Source organism: Homo sapiens, chromosome 13 (assembly GCF_000001405.40).
Source record: "Homo sapiens chromosome 13, GRCh38.p14 Primary Assembly".
NCBI classification, from domain to species: domain Eukaryota; kingdom Metazoa; phylum Chordata; class Mammalia; order Primates; family Hominidae; genus Homo; species Homo sapiens.
The window spans coordinates 27,423,759-27,451,241 of NC_000013.11; the positions used below are offsets into that span (position 1 = coordinate 27,423,759).

Sequence of the window (27,483 nt, forward strand, 5' to 3'; positions counted from 1 at the left end):
CCTGCCAGTTATCTGTATCCAAGGACATTTTTTAGGCATGTGGTCCTCATAAACTAAGATACTCATATTCATTCAGGCCTCTCAAAAGTGCTTCTCAGGTTTTGATATGCACTGAATCACCTGGAGATTTGTTTCAAGTAGGTCATCAAGGCTCTAGGGCAGTGTTCCCAAACTTTTCCTTTTTTTTTTTTTTTTTTTCCAACCACCTGGTCAGTTTGCCGGGGTGGGGAAGGGTAGGATGGGGAGACATCTGTATTTATTCTTTTAGAGCTCGGGGTCTCACTCTGGGCTCAAGCGATTCGCCCGCGTACCTGGGACTACAGGTGCGCACTACTGTGCCAGGATAGTGGTTCCCAAACTTTTCTGCGCATTGAAATCACCTAGGAAGTTTCCAAAAATACTGATGCCTGTTTCCTACCCCCAGAAATTGTGATTTAAGTGGTCCAAGTATCCTCTAGGCTTCGGGATTTTGTAAAGCTCTCCACGTGAATCTGAGCTTAGGAACCTCTGAACTGGGGCTTGCAGCAGAAGCACGTAAAGCACGCAAAGAAACGAAACCACACAGGTCACACTAGTAATGTGGCAACAGGCTAACTTAAATTATGTAAGGCTAGTGCTTTCCAGAGTGTACTGGAGGACGGGAAACAAGCCCCATTTAAGCAGTGCCTCGGGATTTGAGTTGCCTGTGAAACGCAGCAGCCTTCTGCCGAGGACGCAGAAACCCCCGCCTCTCATCCAGGGCTGACAGGGCACGGGCCGCGAGCCGCGGCGGGGCCTCCTGGCGCATGCGCGATCTCCCGGAGCATGCGCAGCAGCGGCGCCGACGCGGGGCGGTGCCTGGTGACCGCGCGCGCTCCCGGAAGTGTGCCGGCGTCGCGCGAAGGTTCAGCAGGGAGCCGTGGGCCGGGCGCGCCGGTTCCCGGCACGTGTCTCGGCACGTGGCAGCGCGCCTGGCCCTGGGCTTGGAGGCGCCGGCGCCCTGGATCCGCCGGCCGTGGTCGCCGAGTCGGTGTCGTCCTTGACCATCGCCGACGCGTTCATTGCAGCCGGCGAGAGCTCAGCTCCGACCCCGCCGCGCCCCGCGCTTCCCAGGAGGTTCATCTGCTCCTTCCCTGACTGCAGCGCCAATTACAGCAAAGCCTGGAAGCTTGACGCGCACCTGTGCAAGCACACGGGGGAGGTGAGGGGGGCGAGGCTGCCAACCCTGGGCCTAGGGATGGCGCGTGGCCCCGGGGTAGCCACTGCAGTCGTGGCCAGGGCCGCAGGCCCCGCTGTGCAGCGCGTTCAGCTTTGACATCCAGGACTTGGGGAAGGAGCTGAGGAAGTAGACAGGAAGTTGTAGGACCTTCGTTCTGCGACCTTGATATCCATGGCAGGGGCTCGGGATTTACTAAGCAGTCATTGATCGTGAGTCTCGGCCAGCCAAGTGCCTCCCGTAATCTGCAAATAAGTGTGAGGTTTGAGGGGGCCCACCGCTACTAGACACCTGCCAAACACTGGCCCCTGGAGCTGGTACAGAAGATGGGTTACATGTACCAGGGGTCGTGAAAGCAGCATGTGCTCATTTCTTCGTAACTCCACACTGGAGAGAGCAGTGAGCAAAACAGGCAAACCCAAGGTTTCTGCTGCCATGGACCTTTGTTCCTGGGTCGAGCCGACCACAGGATAGGTGGGAATGACATGCAGTGTTGTGGTCAGGAAAGGCCTCTCTGTGTGAGCCGTGTAAGAAGGAAGGATCTAGCCATGCAGACATTTGTGCTAGGTAGAGAGAACACAAAGGGAGCCTGTGACCCTTGGGGTGGGAGGCAGGTGGGTGTGTTTGGGTGCGGAGATCACCATATGAGGTCTGAGAAGTAGGCCCATTAGGAGTTTGGATTTTATTTTGAGGGCAGGAGAATGTCAGATACCATGATATGACGTGGCAGCCCATGTCACACACAAGTGAGGAAAACGAGGGTCATGGAGGTCAAGGAATCTGCCCAGCTTCCCAGTTTTTGGCAGAGCTAGGCTTCACACTGCCTCAGCTTAAAGCCCTTAATTTCTTAAACCACTGGGCTGCAGTCCATACCTTTGCCCCTTGCACCTCCTCTAATTTATGGGCCACCTTCTCCAGGTGTCCTCCGGGGCCTCATTCCTTAACCTCTCCAGCACTGGAAGGCCGACCGCTTCTTCCTTGAGACCTTCTCTGGTTCTTTTCCTCTTCCTCGTCTGCCCTTTTCGTTGGATCCTCTTCTGCCCTCTGCATGTTCCACCCCGCCCAGCTCCCTCTTGCGGTCTTACATAGCCACCGGCATGACTCATAACATCCTTTATGCTTTGCCCCTCTGCCCTTCCTCTTGCCCGTTCTAGCCTCTAAATTCTGGGCTCTGTATTACCAGTAGATCCACGTAAGAGCTTGCCTTTCCTTTTAGACCGGTGTGCTGTATTTTGGATACTGGCGCTACCAGTTTCCTTAATACAGGTTGAAAAACTTGGAGTCATCTTTGTTGTCCCAGATCTCTCATGCAGATTAATTTGACAAATGTTTATTGAGCCTACTCCACGCCTGCCGCTGTGCAAGGTTCTGTGGCTCCGCCCCTGGTGGTATGTAGCTCACTGTGTTCCTGTTTGCTTGTTTTGCTCCTAGTACTCTCATGGAGGCCTCGGTGCCTCCCTCCTGGACGCCTTGGTAGTATGCTTTTCATAGTTTGATGCACCAAACTGGTTATTTGGTTATTTGGGGTGTGTGTTTGGCTTTTACTATAGGTTCAAAATGAGTCACCCCCTCCCAACTCCTGGGTTACAAAAGGTGGTTGCATTTAGGGTGTTGAGCTGTTTTCTTTGCTTCGCCCTGGCACCTGTGAGCTTTTTCAGGTGTGACACACTTTCCTATAGCTGTGCTTGGCATTATCCTAGCACAGACCCTGGGCTTGTCTGGGATGAGACAGGCCTCCCTCGTTCCTCTGCCCTAGGCTTGCTTTTTTACATGTTAAATCATGCGGTGGTGGGGATCCATGCAGACAAGCCATGCTAACAGCCAGGGCGTCTTTAAGAGGGGGTTGCTGTGAAAGCCTGCTGCCGGGTTGGGAGCAGGTTAAAAATGCTATGCCTGCTTATTTTAAATGCTGTTCATGGAACAAAAATCTGTGTAGTGACTTTGTGAGAAGTTGTGATGTTTATGTTGTGTAACTTTGTGCAGGAACACTGCGTCTTGCAGTGGGTGCACAGCTCTGAGTAGAAACCACCTCTTCATAGGAAGCCTGTGGCCTTAACACTAGGCAGTTTAAGCTTTTAAATAATACCAGAGTTACTAACTAGTGCAGAAGTGACATGCTTTTTCTTTTTTCCTGCTAGAGACCATTTGTTTGTGACTATGAAGGGTGTGGCAAGGCCTTCATCAGGGACTACCATCTGAGCCGCCACATTCTGACTCACACAGGAGAAAAGCCGTTTGTGTAAGTAGAGACCTGTTTTTAGGCTTTTGAAGTGGGTTGTGTTGGGCATATAGACCCAGTAAGAAGATTGATGTTAACTCACGAGATCAGGAATGTGAAGCCTGGCAGGGCTCGGTGGCTCATGCCTGTAATCCCAGCACTTTGGGAGGCGGAGATGGGCAGATCACTTGAACCCAGGAGTTTGAGACAAACCTGGGCAACATGGTGAAACCCCGTATGTACAAAAATACAAAAATTAGTCAGGGATGGTGGTTTGTGCCTGTAATCCTAGCTACCCAGGAGGCTGAGCTAACATAAAATGCTCATGGGTGGGGACAAGCTAAAGTATATCAACACAATGGGATACCCTACAGCCAGGAAAATGAATGCAGATGCTCTCTGCAAAGCCATGAGAAAATCACCAGGGCACTTTAATTGAAAAACCAAGGTGCAGAAGAGTCCTCTTTAGGCTACTTTTATGTGTGTAAAAAAGCTAGGGGGTAGGGGGAGGGGTGAGTAGTGGGTGTTGGGTAGGCAGGAAGCAACTATATTTGTATTTGTTCCTATTTGTAAAGAAGTCTTAAAAGTTACATAACAAAACTAAAAATGTCATCTGTTTTGGGAGCAGTGGGGGATCCTGGCCAAGTAGGGGGTGGGGATGGTAGGAAATGCCATGCAACCAGGAACTACTGGACATGACTCTTCCAGCTCATGATCTAACCCAGACCCTGCCCCTCTTTAGCTGTAGTTCCCCGTTTCCCACTGCTCGCTGGACAGTGCTACTTGGCTATCTCTGTGTCTTCTTAAATTCCATGTGGTAGGCTGGGTGTGGTGGCTCATGCCTGTAATCCCAGCACTTTGAGAGGCTGAGGTGGGAGGATTGCTTTGAGGCCAGGAGTTCAGGCTGGGCAAGATGGTCAGGTCCATCTCTATTAAAGAAATAAATAAATAAAAAATTCCACATGGCCCAAATTTGTCACAGTCAAACTGAGCTCACTTTTCTGTTTGATCTTCTCTCATGTTCTTGTCTGGAGAGGTGGCCTCGCTGTCTGTCCAGTGACCCATAGCAAAGATAAGGCAGCTCCCTGGACTCTCCATTCTTTCTCCCATCCCTTGCAACAGGTGGGTTGCCAGATCCTGTAACTGACCCATCAGATCCAGCAGCCACTGTCTTATCTCGGTCCCTTCCTCTGGCTGGAATGACAGTTTGCAGGCCAGCCCTCTCCCCCAGTGCCCTCCCGTGTGCTTCCCTTAAAGCTGTGCAGTGCTTTCAAGCACGGCCTACATGTGAAATCCAGGTTTCAAGTGTGTCCTACAATGACCTGCGTGATTTAGCCCTTTTCTGCTTATCTTGCCCCATTTGCTTGACTTGCAGGCATGAAGCTGTGGTCCAGCTGTGCTAACTAACCAGCCCCCTCTCCAAGTGTGCCGGGGTCTCTCACGCCCACTTGGGTCTTGTCAGGACTCTTCCTGGCCTGTCCTCCTATCCCATACCCGGTTGGGTTAGATGCCTGTGTCAGGTTTAGAGTGAAGAATGGCAGGAACCCCAGCACAAGAGATGCTTAAACAAGATGGGCTCTTTGTCTTGTGCGACTGAAATACAGAAATACAGAGGCAGGAGCTCTGGAGCCTCTTCTGACTGGTCTCTGCCATCCTCATCTTGGGCTTTAACCTCACTGTGATGCCTGTTTGGGCCCATCTGTCACATAAGCATGCCACTGGCAGGAAGGAGGAAAGGGCATAAGAGGCATGCCCCCTTATTTAGAGACTTTGTGGGGGTTGAGCAGGATGGGCTGGACTCAGCCATGAGCCGCCCTAATTGCAGGGGAGGCCGGAGAGTGCACTTTCTGTCGGCCACCTGCCCAGCTAACACTCAGCATTCTGTCCCTGCAGTTAGGGGGGCTTCTAGGGTCTCTGCCACAGCGCCCCTCCCATTTGTGGGCCTCTGTGCTGTGCCTCCCATGGTCACTGCTGGCTTGTTTGTCTCTGCTTGGCCCTAGGAATGGGACAGTGCCTGCCTCAGGGTTATCAGTGAGTGATGGCTAAGATTGAGCCTGGGAAAGGAAGTCCTGCTTCATCCCTCAAGCTTACGAAGGCTCATCACAAGAGGCACAAATTTTCTTTTGGGAAAAAAAAAAAAAAAAAAGGAAAAGGCTTTGCAGAGGATTTAGATCATTCAAAGCCAAGATGCCAAGATAAGGGGAACCAGAATGGCTTGGTAAGCCAGAGAACATAATGGTTATGGTTCTGCTCTAAGTATCTGTTTTACCTCTAATGATAAGCCAAGACAAGTTTTATGGAGGCCTTTCTGGAAATCCAGTTCATAATGACATCTCAAGCAGCATTAAGGTTGTCAGATTCTAAGCTGAGAATAATTTGTCTTAAGCATGATTTAGGCCTAGTGTAGGCTTTTGGGACTAGTGTATTTCACCTTCCCATCTGCCCAGTGTGTATAAAAGATGACTGATGTAGTGTGTATAATTTCAGAAGCCTAATATGAAAAAGCATTTTGTTACATGATAGTCATCAGGTTGAGAGTCTATGTGGTATGGCTTAACACTCTGGAATTCGCTAAGACTATTTTATAGTATTACTATTCTTTGGAAGAATTAGCTTCTATAAAGTAGGAAGATATATGTGTCTTAAAACTTCTTCTCCCTTGGTTTATTAATATTTTGGTTTATATAACTTCTTACAGTTGTGCAGCCAATGGCTGTGATCAAAAATTCAACACAAAATCAAACTTGAAGAAACATTTTGAACGCAAACATGAAAATCAACAAAAACAATATATAGTAAGTATGATTTTATATGCTTAAATTTTTTGAGTATTTTTACACTTACTGCCTATGTTTCTGACATTTTCAGCCAGGTGCGGTGGCTCAAGCCTATAATCGTAGCTTGAGGCCAGGAATTTGAGACCAGCCTGGGAAACATAGTGAAATGCTGTCTCTGAAAAAAAAAAACAAAAACAGAAAACAAAACAAAAAATTTTGGGGTAACAGAGACCCTGTCTCTAAAAAATAAAAGTGAAAAATAAAGTTTTCGTCAACCAAATTTTGTCTGCCAAATGTCTGAATTTACTTAATGCCATCATAATGATAAAGGTTTTAATTTGGAAGCAGACATTGTGCAAATTAGTGTATTGGGAGACTATTCCAACTGAAACAGTTTTGCTTTTTCAAATGTTATATGATTCTTCAAACCTTTTTGAGATAAAGCAGAATTTTACAGTAACAAAATGGGTGAAAGCAGAAATTTTATACAGTCTCCAAAATTGTTTTATCTTGAGGATTCTGTTACGAACTGTTCATTTTGTTTTGACTTTCCATAAGACTAACGAGCCTTTACAATTTAACAGTGCAGTTTTGAAGACTGTAAGAAGACCTTTAAGAAACATCAGCAGCTGAAAATCCATCAGTGCCAGCATACCAATGAACCTCTATTCAAGTAGGTACTTCATGTGGCTGAAAATGCCTGGATTCTAGGTGTGAATAAGATTGGAAATGCAAGGGTGGTGTTGAGCATTGTTTCATGTTTTTTGGCCATTTGTATATCTTCTGAGAAATGTCTGTTCATATCCTTTGCCCACTTTTCGATGGATTGTTTTTTTCTTGCTGATCTGAGTTCCCTGTAGATCCTGGATATACATTCTTTATTGGATGCATAATGTGCCAGTATTTTCTCCCACTCTCTGGGTTGTCTGTTTACTCTGCTGATTATTTCTTTTGCTGTGCAGAAGCTTTTTAGTTTAATTAGGTCCCATTTATTTATTTCTATTTTTGTTGCATTTGCTTTCAGGGCCTTAGTAAGAATTCTTTGCCTAGGCTGATGTCCAGAAGTTTTTCCAATGTTTTCATTTTGAATTTTTAGTTTCAGGTCATAAACTTAATTTGAGTTGATTTTTGTATAAGGTGAGAGATAGGGATCCAGTTTTTCCAGCACCATTTATTGAATAGGGAGTCCTTTCCCCAGTTTACGTTTTTATATGCTTTGTTGAAGATCGGGTGGCTGTAAGTATTTGGCTTTATTTCTGTTTTGTTCCATTGGTCTAAGTGCCTATTTTTAAACCAGTGCCACCCTGTTTTGGTAACTGTAGCCTCGTAGTATAATCTGAAGTCTGGTCAAAGGAAAAGAAGTCACTATATGAAAAAGACACATGCACACACGTTTACAGCAGCACAGTTCACAATTGCAAATACATGGAGCCAATTTAAGTGCCCATCGACCAATGAGTAGATAAAGAAAACGTGATGTATATACACCATGGAATACTACACAGCCATAAAAGGGAACAAAATGATGTCTTTTGCAGCAGCTTGGATGGAGCTGGAGGCCATTATTCTCAGTGAAGTAACTCAGGAATGGAAAACCAAATACCATAGTTTTCACTAAGTGGGCACTAAACTATGAGGACAAAAAGACACAGTGATTTCATAAACTTTGGGGACTTGGGGTGGGGAGTTTGGGGAGGGGGGTGAGGGATGAAAGACTACATATTGGGTACAGTGTATGCTGCTTGAGTGATGGTGCGCTAAAATCTCAGCACCACTATAGGATTCATCCACGTAACGAAAAAACACTTGCAACCCCAAAAGCCATTGAAATTTAAAGCAACGGTGGGACAAATCTTCTGAAAGCTTCCTAATCAACATTTTTCTGTTAAAATGTACTGCATATGCACATTTATATATTGGGAGCATTTTAAAGGTTTACTTTGCTCTGAAAGAAATATTTAATGTGTTTCAAAATAATTTTTGAGATTATTCTAGTTGTGGTTAAGCTTAAAGGCTGAGAAATTACTTAACTATTCAAATAGAGCCTGTGCAACTATATGAAATGTCATTATGGAGACACTCATTATGCTTTTCCTGTAGAACAAAACAAGTAGTTGGGTTTATCTGCAATTAGGGTTTTTTGAGGAACGTGAGGGTGGCTGGACAAGTTGGGTAGACCTGCAAAAGGGCCAGCGGCTCTCTGCATGGCTCTGGCCATCCGGCACTTTCCCTTGACTTGCACAGGCTGCCCTGTGCCTTGGAGTTGCTGCAGTGACCTTGCCTGTCCTTGCTTGTGGGTCTGCTGCTGCTGCTTTGCTGCTGATGGCTTTAGCACAGAGGGGGCCCGTGCTTTTTATTGCTCACCAGAGGCAGATGCATCTACTGCTGTGCTGTCTCGCACACCCCCTATGCAGCATCATTAGGAAAGCTAGACACAAGTGATTCAGAATGGCTTAGGGGTTTATCTAAGCCAAGTCAGATAACCTCTTGAACTATCTTTTTGTAGCCATGAAAGCAGAGTATATTTCCAGAGGTATAAAGATGAAAACTGTTTAAATGGGTCAAAAAAAGTAACGTGACTTTTTTCTCCAACAGTTTGTTTTGTCCTAAAGCTGGTCAAGTAACTTGAATCTCACCTGTGATGAGAGCTACATTTTAACATGGGTTTGGTTATGGGAAGAGGCAAGACTTTGGTGGGAGAAACAGGACAAAGTGCCATTGACCTTGAGCGGAGTTCTCTGTGAAAATGGATTGGCTAATACCTCATGTGTTGCCAATGCAGGTGTACCCAGGAAGGATGTGGGAAACACTTTGCATCACCCAGCAAGCTGAAACGACATGCCAAGGCCCACGAGGGTGTGTACGGATAGCCTGGGTGTGCTCCGAGGGGGATGCCAAATCCTGGGCGCCTTTGAATCTGTTCTGTGATCACGCTGAAAAGATGGGAACCCTGTGAACAGGGGACACCATCCTGCTTATTTGGGTCTTACACTCTTGTCCAAAGAGGCACTGTATATGTCTGTTTTTCCACTACCGTATCATTGCTGTTCACATGTAATGTGTTGTTTGTTCACAACAAGCGCCTGGTTACACATTACACTGACGAATGTGCTGATGCTCCAGCCATGGCTTTGATGCTTCTGTCATTTTTAACCTCTTCTATTAATATTTACTGCCTGTGCCATTCTTTTCCTTGTTGGCCATTCACAAGGCTTGGATAATCGTGTGACATTTTGAGAGCCATCAGATGTTACGTTTCTCAAAAAAAAAAAAAAAAGACTTGATTATATTAACTATTTGAATCTATGATCTGTTTCCTTGAGGGATTTTTGCTAATCTGTATTTCAATTTCCCAGGTCCTAGAATTTATGATTTTTTTTTTTTTAAGAGGTTAGTAGCTAACAGTGAGAGGCAGCCTCATTGTTTTTAGTTTCTAGTTGGGTGGAACTCAGCCCTAGTGTTGTATACTTATTAATCCCATTTTAGTGCTTTGCACATATCCATTGTTATTCAGTGTTTTTCTCTGGGTCCTTCCAGTTTATTTTCTTCCTTAGCTGTACTCTTTTAAAAAAAAAAAACAAAAAAAAACTTTTTTTTTTTTTTTTGTGATAAAGTTAAAATATAATGTACCCTACTTTTTTTGTGCAGTATGACACTTACAAGATGGCCAGACTAGAGGAAGCCAGAGGTGGGCATGGTAACACTACTGAAAAGTTGGTGGTGTGCCATGGACAAGGGACCGACTGCAGAGTATGTTTGCTGAGGAAAATAGAGGCGAGGATAGAGCAGGCAGGGGAAGGGAAATAAGACATGGAGATAGGAGGTTAAAGCAGTTGGGAGTCCATACACAGCCTACCCAACTTCCTGAGAACTCTTAGAGAGGAAAAGGCATCCTTAGGCATCCTTCCTGTGAAGTTTGCCTATTCCGTGATCACGCTGAGAAGATGGGAACTCTGAAGTTTGCTTCACAGGAAGGTAAAATCCTTAAAGGGAGGCACCTTGCTGTGCCACTGTTCAGTTTTACTATAACATCAATCTTTTTTTAGTTTTTATTCCCACCTCAAGAGGCTGAGTTGAATACTATTAGGCGGGGAATGGAAAATTATATAGGCACCTAAGTTTCCTTTCTAGTTATGGTCAGTGTTTACACTGAGTATTCATGACAGACAATGCACCAATTTTTTTAATAGGCTATGTATGTCAAAAAGGATGTTCCTTTGTGGCAAAAACATGGACGGAACTTCTGAAACATGTGAGAGAAACCCATAAAGGTAAGGCAGGCATGAATGGCAGGCATGGTGTAAATGTTTGTCCCCACAGAACTGATTTAGTGCTTTTCAAGAGTGAAATGCTGTGTGCTTTAAAGTAAAAGGGTTTCTCTATGATATTTTGTGAAGTGCTGGGTATGATGTTGTTGGAAAGGTGAGCAGAGCTGTGCCAGGTCTCTGAGCCACCCCACCATGCACAATTAGCATGCTGAAGGCGGTGGCAGGTCTGTAGTGAAGAATTTCGGGAGGCACTGCTGTTCTGTGGGACCGCCTGGGAAACAGTACCCTGCATACTGGGGGACAAGGAAGGACACTGGTCTGCTTCATTTTCTGTACCTCCCCACAGTCACCTTCCTGAGAGCCCTGCCTCTTGGCAAGTGAACAATGACTGTGTGGCATTTAAGAACTTCAGAGAATTGAGACAAACTTCCTAGGTGATAAAAACTGGGGTTGTTTCCTTGGGAATTTCTGATTTGTATATAGTGATCAGGTTTCAGGCACTGAATGTTACTTATATATTAGGTATTAATTTTTTCTAAATGGTAATATCTGGGGAAATTTGTGAAATTTGTCTGTCTGTCCCACCAGAGGAAATACTATGTGAAGTATGCCGGAAAACATTTAAACGCAAAGATTACCTTAAGCAACACATGAAAACTCATGCCCCAGAAAGGGATGTATGTCGCTGTCCAAGAGAAGGCTGTGGAAGAACCTATACAACTGTGTTTAATCTCCAAAGCCATATCCTCTCCTTCCATGAGGAAAGCCGCCCTTTTGTGTGTGAACATGCTGGCTGTGGCAAAACATTTGCAATGAAAGTAAGCACTCACCCTCATACTCATGGTCCTATAGTCTATGCTTTCACAACATGGTTTTCATATTAATATTTCATTAATAACTTTCTCTTTCATTGTAGCAAAGTCTCACTAGGCATGCTGTTGTACATGATCCTGACAAGAAGAAAATGAAGCTCAAAGTAAGTTGAAACTACTTAGGCAAGCTTAGTTTTCAAGTGGAAATTGTTTAAGGCCAGAAGGAGTCTGTTTGGAATTCTTTTCACCTGCTTTACTGTTTGAGTCTGCACTACTGTTGAAGACTTTACTTCCTCATAAAGCAATGTTGTACACTATATCTGCTGGTACATATGACTATCGTAAAATTAACTCAGACAGTTTTGATTTTGAATTCTAATCGTGTGTCTTCCTTATTCCCAAAGGTCAAAAAATCTCGTGAAAAACGGAGTTTGGCCTCTCATCTCAGTGGATATATCCCTCCCAAAAGGAAACAAGGGCAAGGCTTATCTTTGTGTCAAAACGGAGAGTCACCCAACTGTGTGGAAGACAAGATGCTCTCGACAGTTGCAGTACTTACCCTTGGCTAAGAACTGCACTGCTTTGTTTAAAGGACTGCAGACCAAGGAGCGAGCTTTCTCTCAGAGCATGCTTTTCTTTATTAAAATTACTGATGCAGAACATTTGATTCCTTATCATTTCCATGGTCTTTGTTCAAAGTGTCTCTTTCCTGGGTCTCTTGAGTTTCTTTATATGCCTTCTCCTCATTTTTGCTGAAAGCACGAAGAACACACATTAAAGCTTTTCCTCCTTGAACAGCTTGTGGCCTAGATGAGAATGTAGCTATTCCAGGCATAGTCTGGAGTATTTGATGAAATATCTCCTCCTAAAAAAGGGAAACAGCCAAAGATTAATTTAAAATCAGAGGCTTTGGTGCTTTCTAATGTTCTGCTTGAACATTCACAAAAACTGGCACCCTTGAATTGCTGCTGTCGGTTAAGTGATTAGCTAATCAGTTCATACGTATCTGGTTAAGTTGACTGAAATCTGTACAATAACACCATGTAACTAAACTGACATGCTGAATGCTTCCTAATTTTAAATCTCCACTTCGTCATGGCACGAAGAGGCTACGTTTGGCTCAGCATTACCCTCTCCCACAAACAGAAAGCACTGGGTTTGGGCATTGGCAAAATACCTCCTCATCCCCAAGGTGTCAGCCGAGCAGTTCTCAGCACTCTCTATTGCCCCTAACAGAGTCTCTCTCAGTGACTGAAACAAATGGATACCTGGGCTCAAGAAATTCTGCATCAGCTGGGTTGCGACCTATGCTTAAGTGACTCTACTGTGGAGCTGGATTACTAAGGATACCCTTAGTGGATGATAAAGTTATCTAACTTTTAAAAAAAAAAAGCAAAATAGGTATTCCATAAACTTATGGGATTGGAAACTACACACTTTCTAGAAGACAGTCTACGTAATTAATGCCCCTATAAGTACAAAGAAGAAACAAAAAATCTATAAAGTTTCTAATTTTCCTGTTTAAGGGTTATTCTACAATTTATAAAACAATAGTATATTGCTTTTAAGGAATAATGTGTTCATATGGCAAAATACGCTGTAATGGAAACTATATCTACAGTATGCTTAGTTTTGAAAAGCAAACTAGAAAGCTGTTAACATCACTGGGTGGAAGAATTACCAGTCACTTTGTCTTTATATTTCAGATTTTCTACAATTTTTTTTTTTTTTTTTTTTTTTTGAGACGGAGTCTTGCTCTGTCACCCAGGCTGGAGTGCAGTGGCGCGATCTCGGCTCACTGCAAGCTCCGCCTCCCGGGTTCACGCCATTCTCCTGCCTCAGCTTCCCCAGTAGCTGGGACTACAGGTGCCCGCCACCACGCCTGGCTAATTTTTTGTATTTTTAGTAGAGACGGGGTTTCACCATGTTAGCCAGGTTGGTCTCAATCTCCTGATCTCGTGATCCGCCCACCTTGGCCTCCCAAAATGCTGGGATTACAGGCGTGAGCCACCGCGCCTGGCCTACAATTGTATTTTTAGATCAGAAGACCCAAAGCACAAGCAGTGGCTTGTACCTTCTTTACTTACCATTTCATTTTCTGACACGTCTACATTTTTTCCTTTCTTTATGGTAATCTGGACTAGGTGTTTTTTCTTAATCCACTGCTGAATCTGTTTAGTCTTTGTGTCCAAATCATGTTGTCCAATATTTGAAGACAAAATCAGTTCCTTTCTCAGGGTTGGTCCTGGTTTGAAACAGATAGGGTGCAAGGACTACTGACTAGTCCACTGTGAACCCTGAACTTCCCAACATGCCCATCATAAAATCCTAGGTTGCCACCTGACAATCTTCTCATCTGGCTTTCAGTTTCACAGACCAGTAAATGTCTTTTCAAATGGGGAAGATACACATAAAGGTACCAATTTTTTACCTGCCCTGGAAGGGTACTTAAAATCTGAAATGCTTCCATTTATTGTTAACCATCGTTTGTTGAAAGAACACCAAAAGATAGTCGTTTAAAGGATCAAGTTTGGCTTCATGGTGCACTTAACATCCTTATCTATCAGCTGTGGGTTGGCATCTGGGAGTGCACTACCCACTCCTTTTGAGATGCTCTCCTTGCTATAAGGGGTCAGCCAGACTGTTGGACAGGTAAGGGTCCCTACATCCTGTGTTCATGCCCTCTGTCTCCAGAAATCCTGCCTACTGGAAAATTATAGAGAAGGAACCGGCCACTCAATAAAGGTGTTGGGACAATTGAGAAGTTTATAGATGACAAAAAGTTAGGTCTCCCCAGGTATACTAATGTTCTACAGGTGAAAAATACAACTTTAAAACAAACAGAAGAAAAGACAGAATGGTTTGTGATCTCAGGATAGGGGATGGAACTCATTAAGAAAAAAAGGCAAAATGAAAAATCTAACTGGGATACGGTTTTTTCCATCATACACAACAGAGAACCCTATAAATCGGAGAAAAACCATCTACGTAGAAAAATAAAGGAATATAAACACGCAATTCACAGAAGAAAAAAGTGAAATACACATTAATTTCTCACCATTAAAATGACAAATGAGGGAGGAGGTAGAGAAACTGCATACACTGCTGCTGAGCAGTTTGATCCATTTAGGTTCATAGACCCTAGAGTATGCACCAGGGTTCATCATAAAGATTGGGGGCCAGGTGTGCTGGCTCACGCCTATAATCCCAGCACTTTGGGAGGCTGAAGCAGGCAGATCGTTGGAGCTCAGGAGTTCAAGACCTGAGCAACATAGCGAGACCCCATCTCTACAAAAAAAAAAAAAAAAAAAAAAGGCCAGGCATGGTGGTGTGCACCTGTGGTCCCAGCTGTGTGGGAGGCAGAGGTGGGAGGATTGCTGGATCCCAGGAGATGGAGGCTGCAGTGAGCCGAAATCACACCACAGCACTCCAGCCTGGGCAACAGAGCAAGACTGTTTTTTTTTTTTTTTTTTTTTTTTTTAAACACAGGGTCTCGCTCTGTCACCCAGGCTGAAGTGCAGTGGCATGATCATGGTTCTTCACTGCAGCCTTTGCCTCCTAGGCTCAAGTGATCCTCCCACCTCAGCCTCCCAAGTAGCTGGGATCACAGGTTTGCACCACTACACCTTGCTAATTTTAAAATTTTTTGTAGAGATGGGGTTTTGCTATATTGCCCAGGCTGGTATTGAATTCCTGAGCTCAAGCCATCCACCTGCCTTGGCCTCCCAAAGTGCTGGGATTACAGACGTGAGCCACCACGCCCAGTGACCTTTTTTTTTTTAAGTGACATAGTTTGACGTCATTATCCTCCCTGGTTGGTCTCTTCTGAATATTGTTTTCCAGTCAACATCCTTGTTAAATGTGGCATTACAAAACTGAGCCGCAGATAACATGTGGTTTTCTGAAGGCACACAACCTCACGATGCAGTGCTGGGAGCAGTCATCTGATGCCTGTCCCCGTGCGCCATCCATTGAACTTTCATAATGATTGGCACTTTTTAGGAACTATGAAAAACAAACATCTTTGCTTAATATCCAATTCCTGACTTCTGTGAGGCTTAAATGACAAGTGCCTCGTCAAGTGACTGGTTGTATATCTAAGAGTGTTGCTACTGATATTGCAACACAATGCTTTGGCATGGGAGATGCTCTGTGAATCACTTCAGAGTCGAAAAGGTGCTTCCAGGCTAGGCGCAGTGGATCACGCCTGTAATCCCAGCACTTTGGGAGGCCGAGGAGGGCAGATCACTTAAGGCCAGGAGTTCAAGACCAGCCTGGCCAACATGGTGAAACCCCCTCTCTATTAAAAATACAAAAATTAGCCGGGCGTGGTGGCGGGCGCCTGTAATCCCAGCCACTGGGGAGGCTAAGGCAGGAGAATCGCTTGAGCCTGGGAGGCGAAGGTTGCAGTGAGCACACATCGCACCACTGCACTCCAGCCTGGGCGGCAGGCAGAGACTCATCTCAAAAAAATAAAAAGGTGCTTCCAGATAATTAACCAAACACCTCCACTTTAGAGTTGAAGAAGGGGAAGAAAAACAAAAGGAGGGAGGTTAAATGAGTGGCCCGGCAGAGGGCAGGGAACTTGAATGTACCCCTCCTAATCTCACTCTGTTTCACCCCATCGGCTACTCAGCTTGCTGCGGCATTGGGAGAAGGCCACAGGACAGGGGAAAGAGTTCTCTTCACTTTGGTTTGTTTGCCTGGTTTCTCCCACATTTTACACAGGTTTAAAGGGAAGAGATAATGGGCAGGGTATTGTGGAAAAACAGTGAAAAAAAGGGAACAGGAGTAAGTGCAGGATAAAGGAGGAAAGACAGACACTGGGAATGGTGGTTGAATCATGAATTTTCTAGTTTCTCATTTCCCTCTTGTCACAGGCACCTTGACAAATGCTAGAATTTAAACTGCTGATTTGTAGCTCTTAAAGGATTCAGGGAGCCAACAGCAAAATACCTACCAGTTTTGGGGTTCGCCTTCTCCATCTCCCTCAGCCTCTGCCGCTCCTGGAGGATCTGCAATCCTGTCATGAGCTGATACTCTGCAGGTTCTGTGCTGGTGTTCCTTTGAACCAGTCGCAGGTCTCGCTCATCCATAAGTCTAATCACATTTGCTCGGTGCATGTTTCCCAAATCATTGCCCTTCTCATCAAATAAGTGAATAACTCGCTGACTAATTTTTCTTCCAACGTTACTAAAAGCTGTTTTATTCTTTTTTGTCTTTTTTCCTTCATTCTGGGTGTCTTCAGCGGTACTAAAGGCTTTTGCATGAATTAGGAAGGAGAGTCTTGGGGCAGAAGCAATAGGGGACAACTGTGCTGGTGCTGTCTTTTGCAGGATGTGTTTACCAAAACATCTAATGCAACTATTTTCAGACTTTACAGTTTGTAGTGTTAACCTCTTTAGAAAAAGAGCAGCCATCCTAAGAAAGTAGTAAGAAGAGTTCATTAAAATTCAATCACTTATTCCCTTGGTCTGACATTGTGGTACATGGCAGGGTGTGTGTGAGGTTGTGGAGGCTGTAACTGCAAGTGTGAGGGAAATGCTGTTCTCTAGACTTTCAGATCCACACACAGGAAGTCTACACTGATAAAGCGGACTAGCAGGTGACTCTGGCCAGACTAACTCATGGTGATACTGTCCCCAAGACAAGTGGCTATTAGAATAAACCAGATTTACATAGCATTTTGGTTTCACTTTTTTTTTTTTTCTGTACACATGATCTCATTTGACTACTTAGTTGACCCCTGAACAACTTGGGAGTTAGGGAAACAGACCCCCTGTGCAGTTGAAAATCTGTGTATAACTTTGACTCCTCAAAAACTTACTAATAGCTTACTGTTGACTGAAAGCCTTATGAATAACATAAGCAGTTGATTAACACATATTTTGTATGCCATATGTATTATATACTGTATTCTTACAATACAGCAAGCTAGAGAAAAGAAATGTCATTAAGAAAATCATAAAGAAGAGAAAATATATTTACTATTAAGTGGAAGTGGATCACCATAAAGGTCTTCATCCTCATTGTCTTCACATCAAGTAGGCTGAGGAGGAGGAGCAAGAGGAGGGGTTGGTCTTCTCTCAGGGGTGGCAAAGGTGGAGGAAAATCCACATATATGTGGACCCCATGCAGTTCAAACCTGTGTTGTTCTAGGATCAACTGTATTTCTCATGCATCTTGTAGTGCCAACTCCAAAAGCGAGTGTCATCTTAGGGCTTTATTTATGAGGATGCAGTACATAAAATGCTTGGTGATTCATAAACACCAATTGATAAACTTCTAATATAATTAACTGTTAACAATTTTTCAATACATCTGATGGTATATAGCAGATAGGAACACACTATGGGAAAGGGACCTCTCCAGGAAGGAAGCCAGCCCACTGCAAGAATAACTGAGCCTGTCAGAAAACACTGTGACATAAATCAAAGTGCTAACCTCATAAACTATAAAGATCATTCTCAAGGTAAGGCAGGTGTTAATTACTACCAAATGTTAACAGAGGCATGTATGGTGACAGTGGTTTTACTTCATGGTTATGAGACTGAATTTGAAGCACTTACAAATGGCACATTGATTTTTTAATTGCTTTTCTGTCCTTCCATTCATGTATTTGGTAAATCTTAGAAGTACAGGCTGAAAGAGTGCTGAGAGGACCCATTCATCTCATCTAGGGCATGCTAGGAATCATTAGAGAATCACAAACTTGGAGAGGTGTGACTTGTCAAAGATGAAAGAGGAAAACAGAAGGTGTCTTCAGGGTGCTTCTCAAAGAATGGTCCCAGAATCTCCTGGGGTGTTTAAAACTGGAAGTTCCCTCTGGTCCCTGGCTTTGAGCCCACTGGGCTGTACAACCCACTTATCTCTCACCTGTCATGTTCAAGAGTGATATGCAAAAAAATATGGTAAATTCAACAGAAAGTGATGGACATGCATATTCTCAACACCCTCCTTACCTAGTTTGGTAACACCCAACACTCTAATTTATAGCTCTGGTGCCAGTCTCTTCTCTTGAGTTCCACACCTGTAGGGTTAACCGCCTACCCAACCTCTCCACTTAGATATGTAATAGTCATTGAGGATTAACGTGTTCAAAGTTCAATGCTTTGCCTTCCATGCAAAACTTGCTCCTCCCTCAGTCTTCCCTGTCTCATGTAATTGCAACACATTCTTCTGGTTGCTCAGGCCAAAAATACCAACGTTATCCTTGACTCTTTATTTTCTCTCAGCAACCCATCCGCAAAACCTACCGTTCAACCAGTATAACCACTTCTCACCTTCTCTACTGCTATCATCCCACTCCCAAACCGCCGCGCCGCTCAACTGCATCACAGTAAAACCGCATCACAGTAACAGCTTCCCGACTGCTCTTCCTGCCTCTGCCCTCACAGCCTGGAGTTTATTACTGCTAGGGCACACAGAGCAATCCTTAAAAATGCGTAAGTCAGATCACGTTCCTCCTCTGCCCACACCCTCCCCTGGCTAGTATCTCACTCCAAGTAAAAGCTAAGCTCTCTACCATGCCCACTGGCCTGTGCCGACCGTACTTCTTCTGGCTCACTCTGTTCCAGCCTCCTTGCTGTTCCTTGTGAACAGTGAACACACCCCTCCTCTGGGTCCTGGCACCCAGAAGTTCTCTCTCCCTGCAACACTCTTCCCTCAGATAGCCTCATGGTTCATTTACCTCGTCTCTGCTCAAACGCTACCTACTCAGCGAGCCCTTCCCTGACCCTTCCATAAAAGAGCACACCCCAACACTCTCAAACCCATTACCTTGCCTTTTAAAAACTTTACTGCATTCATCACTGCTGGACACATTCTATATTTATTTGCATATATGTTCATAATCTTTCCTCACTGGAATGAAAGCTTCATGAGAACATGGACTTTGTCCATTTTGTTCACTGCTGTGTTCCCCGGCACTACAGCTCAGAGCCTGGCTCAGCATGCACATGTCGAATGAATGCACGGGCCGAAGGAAACAGCCAAGGAGCTATGGCAGGGCTGCTGGCATTTAACCTCTACACCTTCGGATGTGTCACGAATGCCTACAAACTACACCCTTCACATTTCTAGCTGGCATTTCAGATGCCCGTCAGTAATGGTGAGTATCTGTGGCCAGATGCTCCATCCACAGTGTATGACATGCATTGATTTATGGTTATTACCCAGCTGGTGGCTCCAGCTGTAGATGCTGTAAAGGCTCTAAGGTGGGAGCAAAGTGATTTTAAATCACTGACATACTGTTTAATAAAAAGTCAGATCTTTTGTGAATGGAGGAAGCCCCCAAACCAAAAAAGAAGAAAAATCTGAAAAGATCACAGAAGATTTTTTTTTCACTTATCAGAAAACTAGCAGCAGCATCCAGTCCCAAATGTCACTAGGTATTCTGCTAGGGGACTCTTAAGTTCCTGCTCACAAGCCTGCTCTATAAACTTTATGTCTAAAATCAGTGTTGTTTCTTTCCAAAGTCTGTATTAGCGACAATGATGTAGAAGTTATCACATGTAAAATCATGTTACTAAATAGATAGATATAAATTCTAATATTCTTGATATATACAGTAGACAAAACAGTTCACTGCAATTAAGCTTTAATACTAACTCAGTACTGGCTATCTTTTTCCCTTAGTAGTTATGAATAAGAGCTAAAGTGCCTTGTTTAATAAATTATCAACATATTAAAATATAAAAAATTTCAAAATTTGATTTTTTTCAAACAAGCAAACAAAATAACTAGATATAGGAAAAGATGAAAAAAATTTATAAAAATGTTGAAGACAAAAGCAATTCATTCCCCTATTTTTCCTAATTGCCAGTATTTCTCAAGTTTTTTTATAAGTGTTATTTTTATACTTGAAAATAAATTTTATTTACAAAATAAAGACTATTTCAGAAAAATGACGTAGGTTTTTTAAAAAAGCTTTAAAAACACTTTCCAAGAAGGAAACAAAGGAAAGGGAAAGAATAGAAAAACACTGGAAGTAGGGCCGGGTGCAGTGGCTCACGCCTGTAACCCCAGCACTTTGGGAGGCTGAGGTGGGCGGATCACAAGGTCAGGAGATCGAGACCATCCTGGCTAACACAGTGAAACCCTGTCTCTACTAAAAAATAAAATAAAAATTAGCTGGGCGTGGTGGCGGGCGCCTGTAGTCCCGGCTACTCGGGAGGCTGAGGCAGGAGAATGGCGTGAACCCGGGAGGCGGAGCTAGCAGTGAGCGAGATTGCGCCACTGCACTCCAGCCTGGGCGACAGAGCGAGACTCTGTCTCAAAAAAAACGAAAAAAAAAAGAAAAACACTGGAAGTATATAACTTTTAAAGTTCTTTGCCACTAGTTTAAATTTTTAAGAAACTTCAATTTTTATTGATGTATACAGCAAACAATGCAATTCATTGCAATTAAGCTTTAATACTAACTCAATACTGGCTTTAAATCAGCAAAATTGAAAATATACGTTTCTTCAAAACAGGCCCTTATAGATAAAAATATAAATACAAAGTTAAAACAACCTGTAATATTACATTTAAATTGCAGCTATCAACATAAATTCATAATTTAAAAACTTTTTATTAGGGAACTTTTTAACCTTGTACAGAAAGAACTGGATAATAAACAGCAGCTGGGTTTCATCTTTACCCCTCAACTATCTCCCCCCAACCATCCAGGAATGCTTTCAAAGTAAATCCTACTTTTTCAGGAAATAGTATGTATCTCTAAGAGGTACTCCTTAATCTTTTTAGTATTCACAATATTATCCCAATTAAAAAACGTTCCTTTATTTCATCAAATATTTAGCTTTCAGATTTCCATGATGGTATTATGATTTTGTTTGTTTACATGTCATTTACAGTTTGGCAGCATGAAGAGACTCCCACTGGTCAATTTTGGTGTAATTTAAACAGTAAGGCATAATCACTGTCATTCATTTCAATATACTGAATATACAAAAATCTATGAAAATGATAATTTGCCACAACTGCATGGGACTATTATATTGATTTTTTACTTTGAAAATTGCTAATTAAATAAAAAGAACTGAGCATTTATCCTACCTTTTTTAGGAAGAACTGTAATCATCCCCAGTTGATGAGGAGAAGCTCTTCTGTAGAGAAGAATGACAGCTAATAAACACAAAAGAAAAGTAAAAGTAATTAGAAAATCATGCCACGCACGATGTCTCACACCTGTAATCCCAGCACTTTGGGAGGCCAAGGCGAGAGGATCACTTAAGGCCAGGAGTTTGAGACCAGCCCGGGACACACAGCAAGACCCAGTCTCTACAAAAAATAAATTAGCCAGGTGTGTTGACACGCAACTGTACTCCCAGCTACTGGGGAGGCTGAGGAAGGAGGTTCACTTGAGCCCAGGAGGTTGAGGCTGCAGTGAGCTCTGATCACACCACTGCACTCCAGTCTGGACAACAGAGCAAGACCCTGTTTCAAAAAAAAAAAAAGAAAATCACCATTTTTCCAACCCCAACGAAACTACTGATTCAGGCAGGATGCAAGAGAGCTGATGCCAAAGGGTCACAAACAGATTACTTTCAGACTGAGAGGGAAAAGCACACTCTGCTGAGGGTAGACAGCTGTCTGTCATCCTAAGCCAACGTCAGACTCAGCATCTCCAACAGTGGAACAACCTGCCATCCTTGCCACATCTCTGGATGGGAAGCTACCCAAAGTGCATGGCACCTTCTATTAAGCAGCTTTGCCAAAAAGGTTTGACCTGAACCTGATGCAGGGTCTAGCTTCCAGTTTCCAGGGGATACAAGGGCCAGACTCAGAGAAACAATAGAAGATGCCACAAGGAAACAATCTGACAAATCCAGATGGAACAAGACACCTGGTTAGTGTCTAAAAAAGCCAATGCCATTGGGAATGAAAAGGGAAGAGGGAAGCTATTCTTGAGTGAAAAAAAAAATCAAGGAGACATAATTTTGCTGAAAAGAAATGTTGGGAATGAGGGGAAAATCTGAATAGGGACTAGGTATTAGATACTATTAGAGACGTATTGTTAATTTTCTTTTTTCTTTTTTTTTTGAGACAGGTTCTCACTCTGTCACCCAGACTGGAGTGCAGTGGGGCAATCTCGGCTCACTGCAACCTCCGCCTCCCAGGTTCAAGTGATTCTCCTGCTTCAGCCTCCCAAGTAGCCGGGATTACAGGTGTGCACCACTACCGCCTGGCTAATTTTTGTATTTTTAGTAGAGATGGGGTTTTACCATGTTGGCCAGGCTGGTCTCGATCTCCTGACCTCAAATGATCCACCTGCCTTGGCCTCCTGAAGTGTTGGGATTACGGGCGTGAGCCACGGCACCCGCCTGTTAATTTTCTTAGGTGTGAAAATGGAATTCTTAAGAAACAAATGCTGAAGTATTTAGGATAGTGTCATGACATCTATCACTTGCTTTGAAACCATACAGCAGAAAATATAAACAATGCACTTACGGCAGCATTTGCTAAATCTAGGTTATGGTTATACGGGTGTTCAATAATTAATACATTTTTAAAGAACAAATCAATAGCCTAGAGGGAGGAATGGTTCACTGGTAATGCCAATGTAACTATTCTAGTCTGTGTAAGTTCTAAATTTCACTGTAATTTAATACATTGACATTCTGGCTTTGTACATAATTTTAAAAAATATTCCCTTTATTCGTTTCAAGCCTATATCTAAGTGACCCATAAATAAGGAACTTTATAAACTTAAAATTCTGATTTTTTTGTAATGCATAGTGCCTTTATTTCTTCATTTAGTTTTCCTTAAACTCAGGTCTAAAAGTCTCATCATAAATGGTGATGGGGGCGGATGGGAAGGAGGCTGGCATAAAAAAAGTACACATTAGGTACAATGTATACGATTCGGGTGATGGTGCACTAAAATCTCAGAATTCACCACTATATAATTCGTCCATGTAATGAAAAACCACTTGCAGTCCAAAAGCTACTGAAATAAAAATTTTAGAAGAATAAAACAAATGGTGATGGTTTCAGTTTGAGGCAGAACTTGTACAATTTTTTGCTAGTGAACGGTTAAAAGTTAACTGGTCTACAATGGGGTGGTGTTTCTCAGAAACCACGGCCTGTCGGCATCACCTGGGGATGCTTTTCAAAACACAGATGTTTCCTCTTCCCTATCCTGTTCAGAACCAGTGGGTTAGGCCAAAAAAAAAAAAAAAAAGATGAACTTTAAGAAAAAGAGTAAGAAAACACTATAAGTGGGGTCAAGGGTAGTTTGAGCTAGGATGCCTGAGACTACCCCTAACCTTTCAAAGTTGAATAAAAATAGGAAGCCATGTTCTCTGATGAAAATCTCTGATGCCTCTGTGAGGTAAACAACACTAGGCTGAAGAGGCCAGGAGACTAACTCAAAATAGAAACAAACGCTTACGTTCTTATGATAATCCTGTTGCATTTGCTGCACTCACTCCCACAACTATACTCTCCGAGACAGCCACAATATTCTAAAAACCAATTATCTTAATGTCAATTACTTATAATGCATAACTTTATAGTATGATATCCATTTTTAATTCGATGATTACTCAGACTTTATCTGAGTTTTGACAAGTGCATATACCTTTGTAACCAAAACTCCTATCGACAGAACATCACCATTATCCCAGGAAGTTCCCTCTTGCCATTTCCAAGTCAATCTCCATCCCCAAGAGGCAACTATTGTTCTGATTTTTTCCCATCAGTCTGTCCTAAGACTTCATATAAATGGAACCAAACAATATCTACTCTTTGTTGTAAGACATCTCAGCATGTTTCGAGATTCATTCACGTTGTACGGATCATTACCTTGTTCCTTTTTATTTCTAAGAAGTGTCCTCCAAGTATATGAATATATCGCAGTTTTTAAATCTAGTTTTCGTTAATGAACACCTAGGCTGTTCCCTTTATTTATTTATTTATTTTTGGCTCTTATGAATAGCTGCTGTGAACATTCTTGTACCAAAAAAAAGACAATTATTACTGCTCCAAAGGACAGCTGTATTCCCTGTATAATTCATTATTTTGCATTCTACCGGAAGTACTGATAAAATATTTGCAGGGAAACTTCCTGGAACATGATTTAAATATGTGGTTTAGTAGATATGAGGGGTGGGTGGGTGGGCATTCTCGTCCTATAAAAAATTGCTTGCATGCATTTGAAATCATGTGGACTGAAGAGACGAAAATAACTTCTATTATTTGTTCACTCACTGCTTTTCTCATACAGCTGATATTCACAAGCTCATACTGTTATCTGTTCTTTCCTGGGAGATTGGATCAAAGTTGCATAGATTCTAGCGGACTAAATATTTGTGAAATTAATTTTGCCAATTCTCATGACTCTAAGAACTCTTTTACACCTTCCAAAGAAGTTTCATAAAGTCCTTGCTTCTGCCTGCAAACTGTCCCAGTTGCCCCATTCTGGCCTGAGCAGTGCAGCCTTAATCCCAGAGGGCCTGCGCTACCGTTACTGGGCCTTCATGCTCCCCTCCCTTGGCTCTGGTTTTGCTCTTCCATAGGGAGCACAAAGTGTACTCTCCATAATGAGGCTGAGCTGTTTACGTGCTAGAACTCCCATTTAGAACACTGGAAAAAGCCAACATTATATCTTTGGCCAACTATTTAACCTTATTTCTTTAGCTATTAAATTGAAATAATAACCATATGTTTTAAAAAGCTTTTAAACCCAGAGCTAAAGACTCTGTATTAAAAACTGGACTTACGGCCGGGCACGGTGGCTCACGCCTGTAATCCCAGCACTTTGGGGAGGCTGAGGAAGGCAGATCACTTGAGGTCAGAAGTTCAAGACCAGCCTGGCCGACATGGTGAAACCCCATCTCTACTAAAAATACAAAAAAACTAGCCGGGCCTGGTGGCGTGAGCCTGTATTCCCAGCTACTTGGGAGGCTGAGGCAGGAGAATCACTTGAACCCGGGAAGCAGAGGTTGCAATGAGCTGAGATCGTGCACCGCACTCCAGCCTAAGCATCCAGCCTAGGCAACAGGGTGAGACTCTCAAAAAAAATTTTTTTTTAACTTATTCTCCTATGTTAATCCTATGTTAGTCTTCTTCCAGAACTCTAGTGATGGGATCACTACCCATCCACAACCTCCAGTCACCTCCAAGACACCTTTGACGCCTCCACTTTCCCAGTCAACCCAACACCAAGCCTCATCGACTTCATTTCCTAAACCCCACTCGAATCCATCCAGTCCTCTCCGTATCCACTGTCACCACCGTCAGTTTAAAACATCGACCACCTCGTTTGGATTCCTGCCAGTCTCCTAACTCGGCTTGAGCCCTGGCAACCAGTTCCCACTGCACTGCGGTCACTACACCCAGGACCTTCCTCACCTTAAATAAAACTGCCCCGAGATTAAAGATCTACACCTTCGCCAGGCCAAAAGGCCCTTCCCACCTCTCCAGTTTCTTCTTTATGCCTAGGCCACACTGGCCATTCGGTTTTTGAAATACAGTACTCTCGTCCTTGGTTTAGGAAACGCCAGATCCTTAGCGCATTCTTCTGATTACCTTCCAAACTAAGCCAGTTCTCCCATCCCTCCCCCAATTTACTGAGCTTAACACTGAATGCTTCTACAGTCCAGTTGACCTTTCCTTTAAAACATTCATTACAATTACAGTTTTGTGATGATCTTAGCACTGCTGTTCTCCATCACTAGACCGTAAACTCTACGAAGCAGGAACAAAATGGACTTATTCGTTACTGTGTTGTGCCTGACAGAATGAATAGTAGTCGATTTTCAGATTCTTCTCTCCATCCTCTACTTTTCTAAGACTTAGGCCTTTCACAACACGTACTTGAAACTGAGACTTCTCAGTAAGAGAACTTCGTTTACTTGGTTCAAGTCTTAAGCCACGGAGCCCACTAAATGACAAATGAGAAAAAAAATCCCAGTCACTTCGCGACCTTCCCCCATAAGGCCTCCTCCCGCAACAGCAGGCAGCAAGAACAACGCATTTGTCCAGCATGTCCTGCGCAGGCGCCCTTCGCCTGGCTCGCTCTGCCCCACCTGTGCCAGGCAGTAAGCCGCAAGAGCACTTCCGGGAGCCCCCGACCCGGTTGTTGGTAAGTCGGCGGCGACGCCCACCTGCAGAACGGGACCGGCGGAGCGCCAGGGCTAGAGACGGGACGTAGCGACGTACTGCGTGCGTGCGTGCGCACAAACGAGGGCGCGCATGTCGGGACGGAACTAGAAAAGCTCAGTGGGGCTGGCGGCAACTCTAGGTCTAACATCCCTCGGAAGTTCGTGCAGCGGCCTCGCTGAAAATGGCTTTACAGCCCGGCAGAACCCTCCGACTCCGCAGCAGGACCTGCGGAGCCTCTCCGCCCTCGGTACCGGCGGGACGGGGTAGCCCTGACCTTCCGGGTGCCTCCTCCACAGGGGCGCCCCCTAAGGCCACGCCCTCCCGATGCCGGTCCGCGCACCGCTCCGCACGCCTCATATTTAGCATTACCTGTGCTGGGGCAAGCGATTGACATACTGTAGCGGACGCAAGTACAGCGGATCTGCGGCGAGTCCCCTTCGCTCTCCGTAGTGGGCGGGGCTTCACCCCGCGTCCTTTAAAGGAAAGGTGATGGGCGGAGCCACGTTTTTCTACTGTTGGGATTCAGTTCCGCCGACAGAAAATGCGGAGAACGCGGAGGAAGTCCCTGAGGGGAAATTGCTGCTCACCTGGCTCCCGCTGCTCCGCAGGTGCGGTGAAGGCTAATGTCGAATTTCTGCAGCAATCGGAGCAGCCCTTACTCCAGTTACATTAACACCAATCTCGGTCTCCCACTAGGGCTTTATAAATTGCTTTCATAAACGTCTTTTTAATGTAACACTGAATAAAATGTTTTATAAGCGTCTTTTATAAGGATCGTAAGTGAAAGGGCGCTGTCTCCGATTTGCAGGTGAGCAGACAGCTTCGGAGTGAGAACGGCTCCCCGCGGGTCCCCGGTGGCGCGCGGCTCCCGGAGGCAAAACAAAGCTGGGGCCGGGGCGTCGGAGCCTCCGCGTTGTAGTTGGGAGAGGTTCGAACGGGGCCCCAGCTGGCGAAAGGGAAAACGGACCCGGACCCGGACCCGTGGAGCCTGCTCGAAAGCCGGGTGCTGGGGGTCTGGGCCCCGTGTCCCCCCTCTTTTTCTTCTTCAATAAGAAATTCCTCAAGGGCAGACTGCGAGTCCACAGTCGTGAAGCCACCTAAT

The 27,483-nt window shown here is 44.1% G+C and overlaps 2 protein-coding genes across 24 annotated transcripts, besides 12 other annotated features; one reads left to right on the plus strand and one right to left on the minus strand.

Moving 5' to 3' along the window:
- Positions 686 to 955: a silencer, noted in NCBI's record as "silent region_5200". NCBI's record gives its function as "represses an Ori minimal core promoter by ATAC-STARR-seq in GM12878 lymphoblastoid cells {active_cell/tissue: GM12878}" and the evidence as "EXISTENCE:reporter gene assay evidence [ECO:0000049][PMID:35858748]".
- Positions 861 to 12,065, plus strand: GTF3A (general transcription factor IIIA). The gene is made up of 9 exons (NM_002097.3): positions 861 to 1,180; positions 3,334 to 3,434; positions 6,112 to 6,208; positions 6,775 to 6,863; positions 8,973 to 9,046; positions 10,381 to 10,461; positions 11,047 to 11,276; positions 11,375 to 11,434; positions 11,675 to 12,065. Exons 1-9 carry the CDS (start codon positions 980 to 982, stop codon positions 11,837 to 11,839), a joined length of 1,098 nt encoding a protein of 365 aa, NP_002088.2. The 5' UTR covers positions 861 to 979; the 3' UTR covers positions 11,840 to 12,065.
- Positions 966 to 1,025: a silencer, noted in NCBI's record as "silent region_5201". NCBI's record gives its function as "represses an Ori minimal core promoter by ATAC-STARR-seq in GM12878 lymphoblastoid cells {active_cell/tissue: GM12878}" and the evidence as "EXISTENCE:reporter gene assay evidence [ECO:0000049][PMID:35858748]".
- Positions 1,126 to 1,205: a silencer, noted in NCBI's record as "silent region_5202". NCBI's record gives its function as "represses an Ori minimal core promoter by ATAC-STARR-seq in GM12878 lymphoblastoid cells {active_cell/tissue: GM12878}" and the evidence as "EXISTENCE:reporter gene assay evidence [ECO:0000049][PMID:35858748]".
- Positions 1,296 to 1,365: an enhancer, noted in NCBI's record as "active region_7503". NCBI's record gives its function as "activates an Ori minimal core promoter by ATAC-STARR-seq in GM12878 lymphoblastoid cells {active_cell/tissue: GM12878}" and the evidence as "EXISTENCE:reporter gene assay evidence [ECO:0000049][PMID:35858748]".
- Positions 2,316 to 2,535: an enhancer, noted in NCBI's record as "active region_7504". NCBI's record gives its function as "activates an Ori minimal core promoter by ATAC-STARR-seq in GM12878 lymphoblastoid cells {active_cell/tissue: GM12878}" and the evidence as "EXISTENCE:reporter gene assay evidence [ECO:0000049][PMID:35858748]".
- Positions 4,279 to 4,659: a silencer, noted in NCBI's record as "fragment chr13:28002174-28002554 (GRCh37/hg19 assembly coordinates)". NCBI's record gives its function as "represses an EF-1alpha promoter that drives an FKBP-Casp9 reporter gene in an ReSE screen in HepG2 liver carcinoma cells {active_cell/tissue: HepG2}" and the evidence as "EXISTENCE:reporter gene assay evidence [ECO:0000049][PMID:32094911]".
- Positions 10,727 to 11,926: an enhancer, noted in NCBI's record as "BRD4-independent group 4 enhancer chr13:28008622-28009821 (GRCh37/hg19 assembly coordinates)". NCBI's record gives its function as "activates an origin of replication core promoter dependent on BRD2, P300/CBP, MED14 and CDK7 cofactors, and independent of BRD4, by STARR-seq in HCT116 cells {active_cell/tissue: HCT116}" and the evidence as "EXISTENCE:reporter gene assay evidence [ECO:0000049][PMID:35650434]".
- Positions 11,885 to 26,806, minus strand: MTIF3 (mitochondrial translational initiation factor 3). Of its 23 annotated transcripts, none has more exons than XM_047430128.1 (6): positions 26,751 to 26,806; positions 21,330 to 21,379; positions 17,259 to 17,319; positions 16,231 to 16,691; positions 13,358 to 13,515; positions 11,885 to 12,135 (listed from the first exon to the last, which is right to left on the minus strand). In XM_047430128.1, exons 4-6 carry the CDS (start codon positions 16,688 to 16,690, stop codon positions 11,917 to 11,919), a joined length of 837 nt encoding a protein of 278 aa, XP_047286084.1. In that variant the 5' UTR covers position 16,691; positions 17,259 to 17,319; positions 21,330 to 21,379; positions 26,751 to 26,806; the 3' UTR covers positions 11,885 to 11,916. The 23 variants fall into 23 exon arrangements, with proteins under 23 accessions (XP_047286084.1, NP_001159735.1, XP_011533259.1 ...); NM_001166263.2 differs by having other exon boundaries at positions 21,330 to 21,398; XM_011534957.4 differs by having other exon boundaries at positions 17,259 to 17,484; positions 21,330 to 21,398.
- Positions 15,768 to 15,937: an enhancer, noted in NCBI's record as "experimental_32805 CRE fragment used in MPRA reporter constructs". NCBI's record gives its function as "activates a minimal promoter by MPRAs in K562 erythroleukemia cells, with activity observed for both the introgressed and non-introgressed 13:28013748 variant alleles {active_cell/tissue: K562}" and the evidence as "EXISTENCE:reporter gene assay evidence [ECO:0000049][PMID:34662402]".
- Positions 26,043 to 26,957: an enhancer, noted in NCBI's record as "H3K27ac-H3K4me1 hESC enhancer chr13:28023938-28024852 (GRCh37/hg19 assembly coordinates)". NCBI's record gives its function as "activates a minimal SCP1, AML or CMV promoter by ChIP-STARR-seq in primed H9 embryonic stem cells {active_cell/tissue: H9 hESC(primed)}" and the evidence as "EXISTENCE:reporter gene assay evidence [ECO:0000049][PMID:30033119]".
- Positions 26,043 to 27,160: a biological region, named in NCBI's record as "H3K27ac-H3K4me1 hESC enhancer GRCh37_chr13:28023938-28024852".
- Positions 26,801 to 27,160: an enhancer, noted in NCBI's record as "active region_7505". NCBI's record gives its function as "activates an Ori minimal core promoter by ATAC-STARR-seq in GM12878 lymphoblastoid cells {active_cell/tissue: GM12878}" and the evidence as "EXISTENCE:reporter gene assay evidence [ECO:0000049][PMID:35858748]".
- Positions 27,181 to 27,240: an enhancer, noted in NCBI's record as "active region_7506". NCBI's record gives its function as "activates an Ori minimal core promoter by ATAC-STARR-seq in GM12878 lymphoblastoid cells {active_cell/tissue: GM12878}" and the evidence as "EXISTENCE:reporter gene assay evidence [ECO:0000049][PMID:35858748]".

Excerpts from the sequence above, each read along its gene's own strand:
- MTIF3 (XM_006719772.5), bottom strand. The coding sequence starts at position 16,690 with ATGGCTGCTCTTTTTCTAAAGAGGTTAACACTACAAACTGTAAAGTCT. Across the intron at positions 13,516-16,230 it reads GAAGGCGAACCCCAAAACTG|GACCAACCCTGAGAAAGGAA; the intron begins GTAGGTATTTTG and ends GTTTCAAACCAG. Across the intron at positions 12,136-13,357 it reads ACGTGTCAGAAAATGAAATG|GAGGAGATATTTCATCAAAT; the intron begins GTAAGTAAAGAA and ends TCCCTTTTTTAG.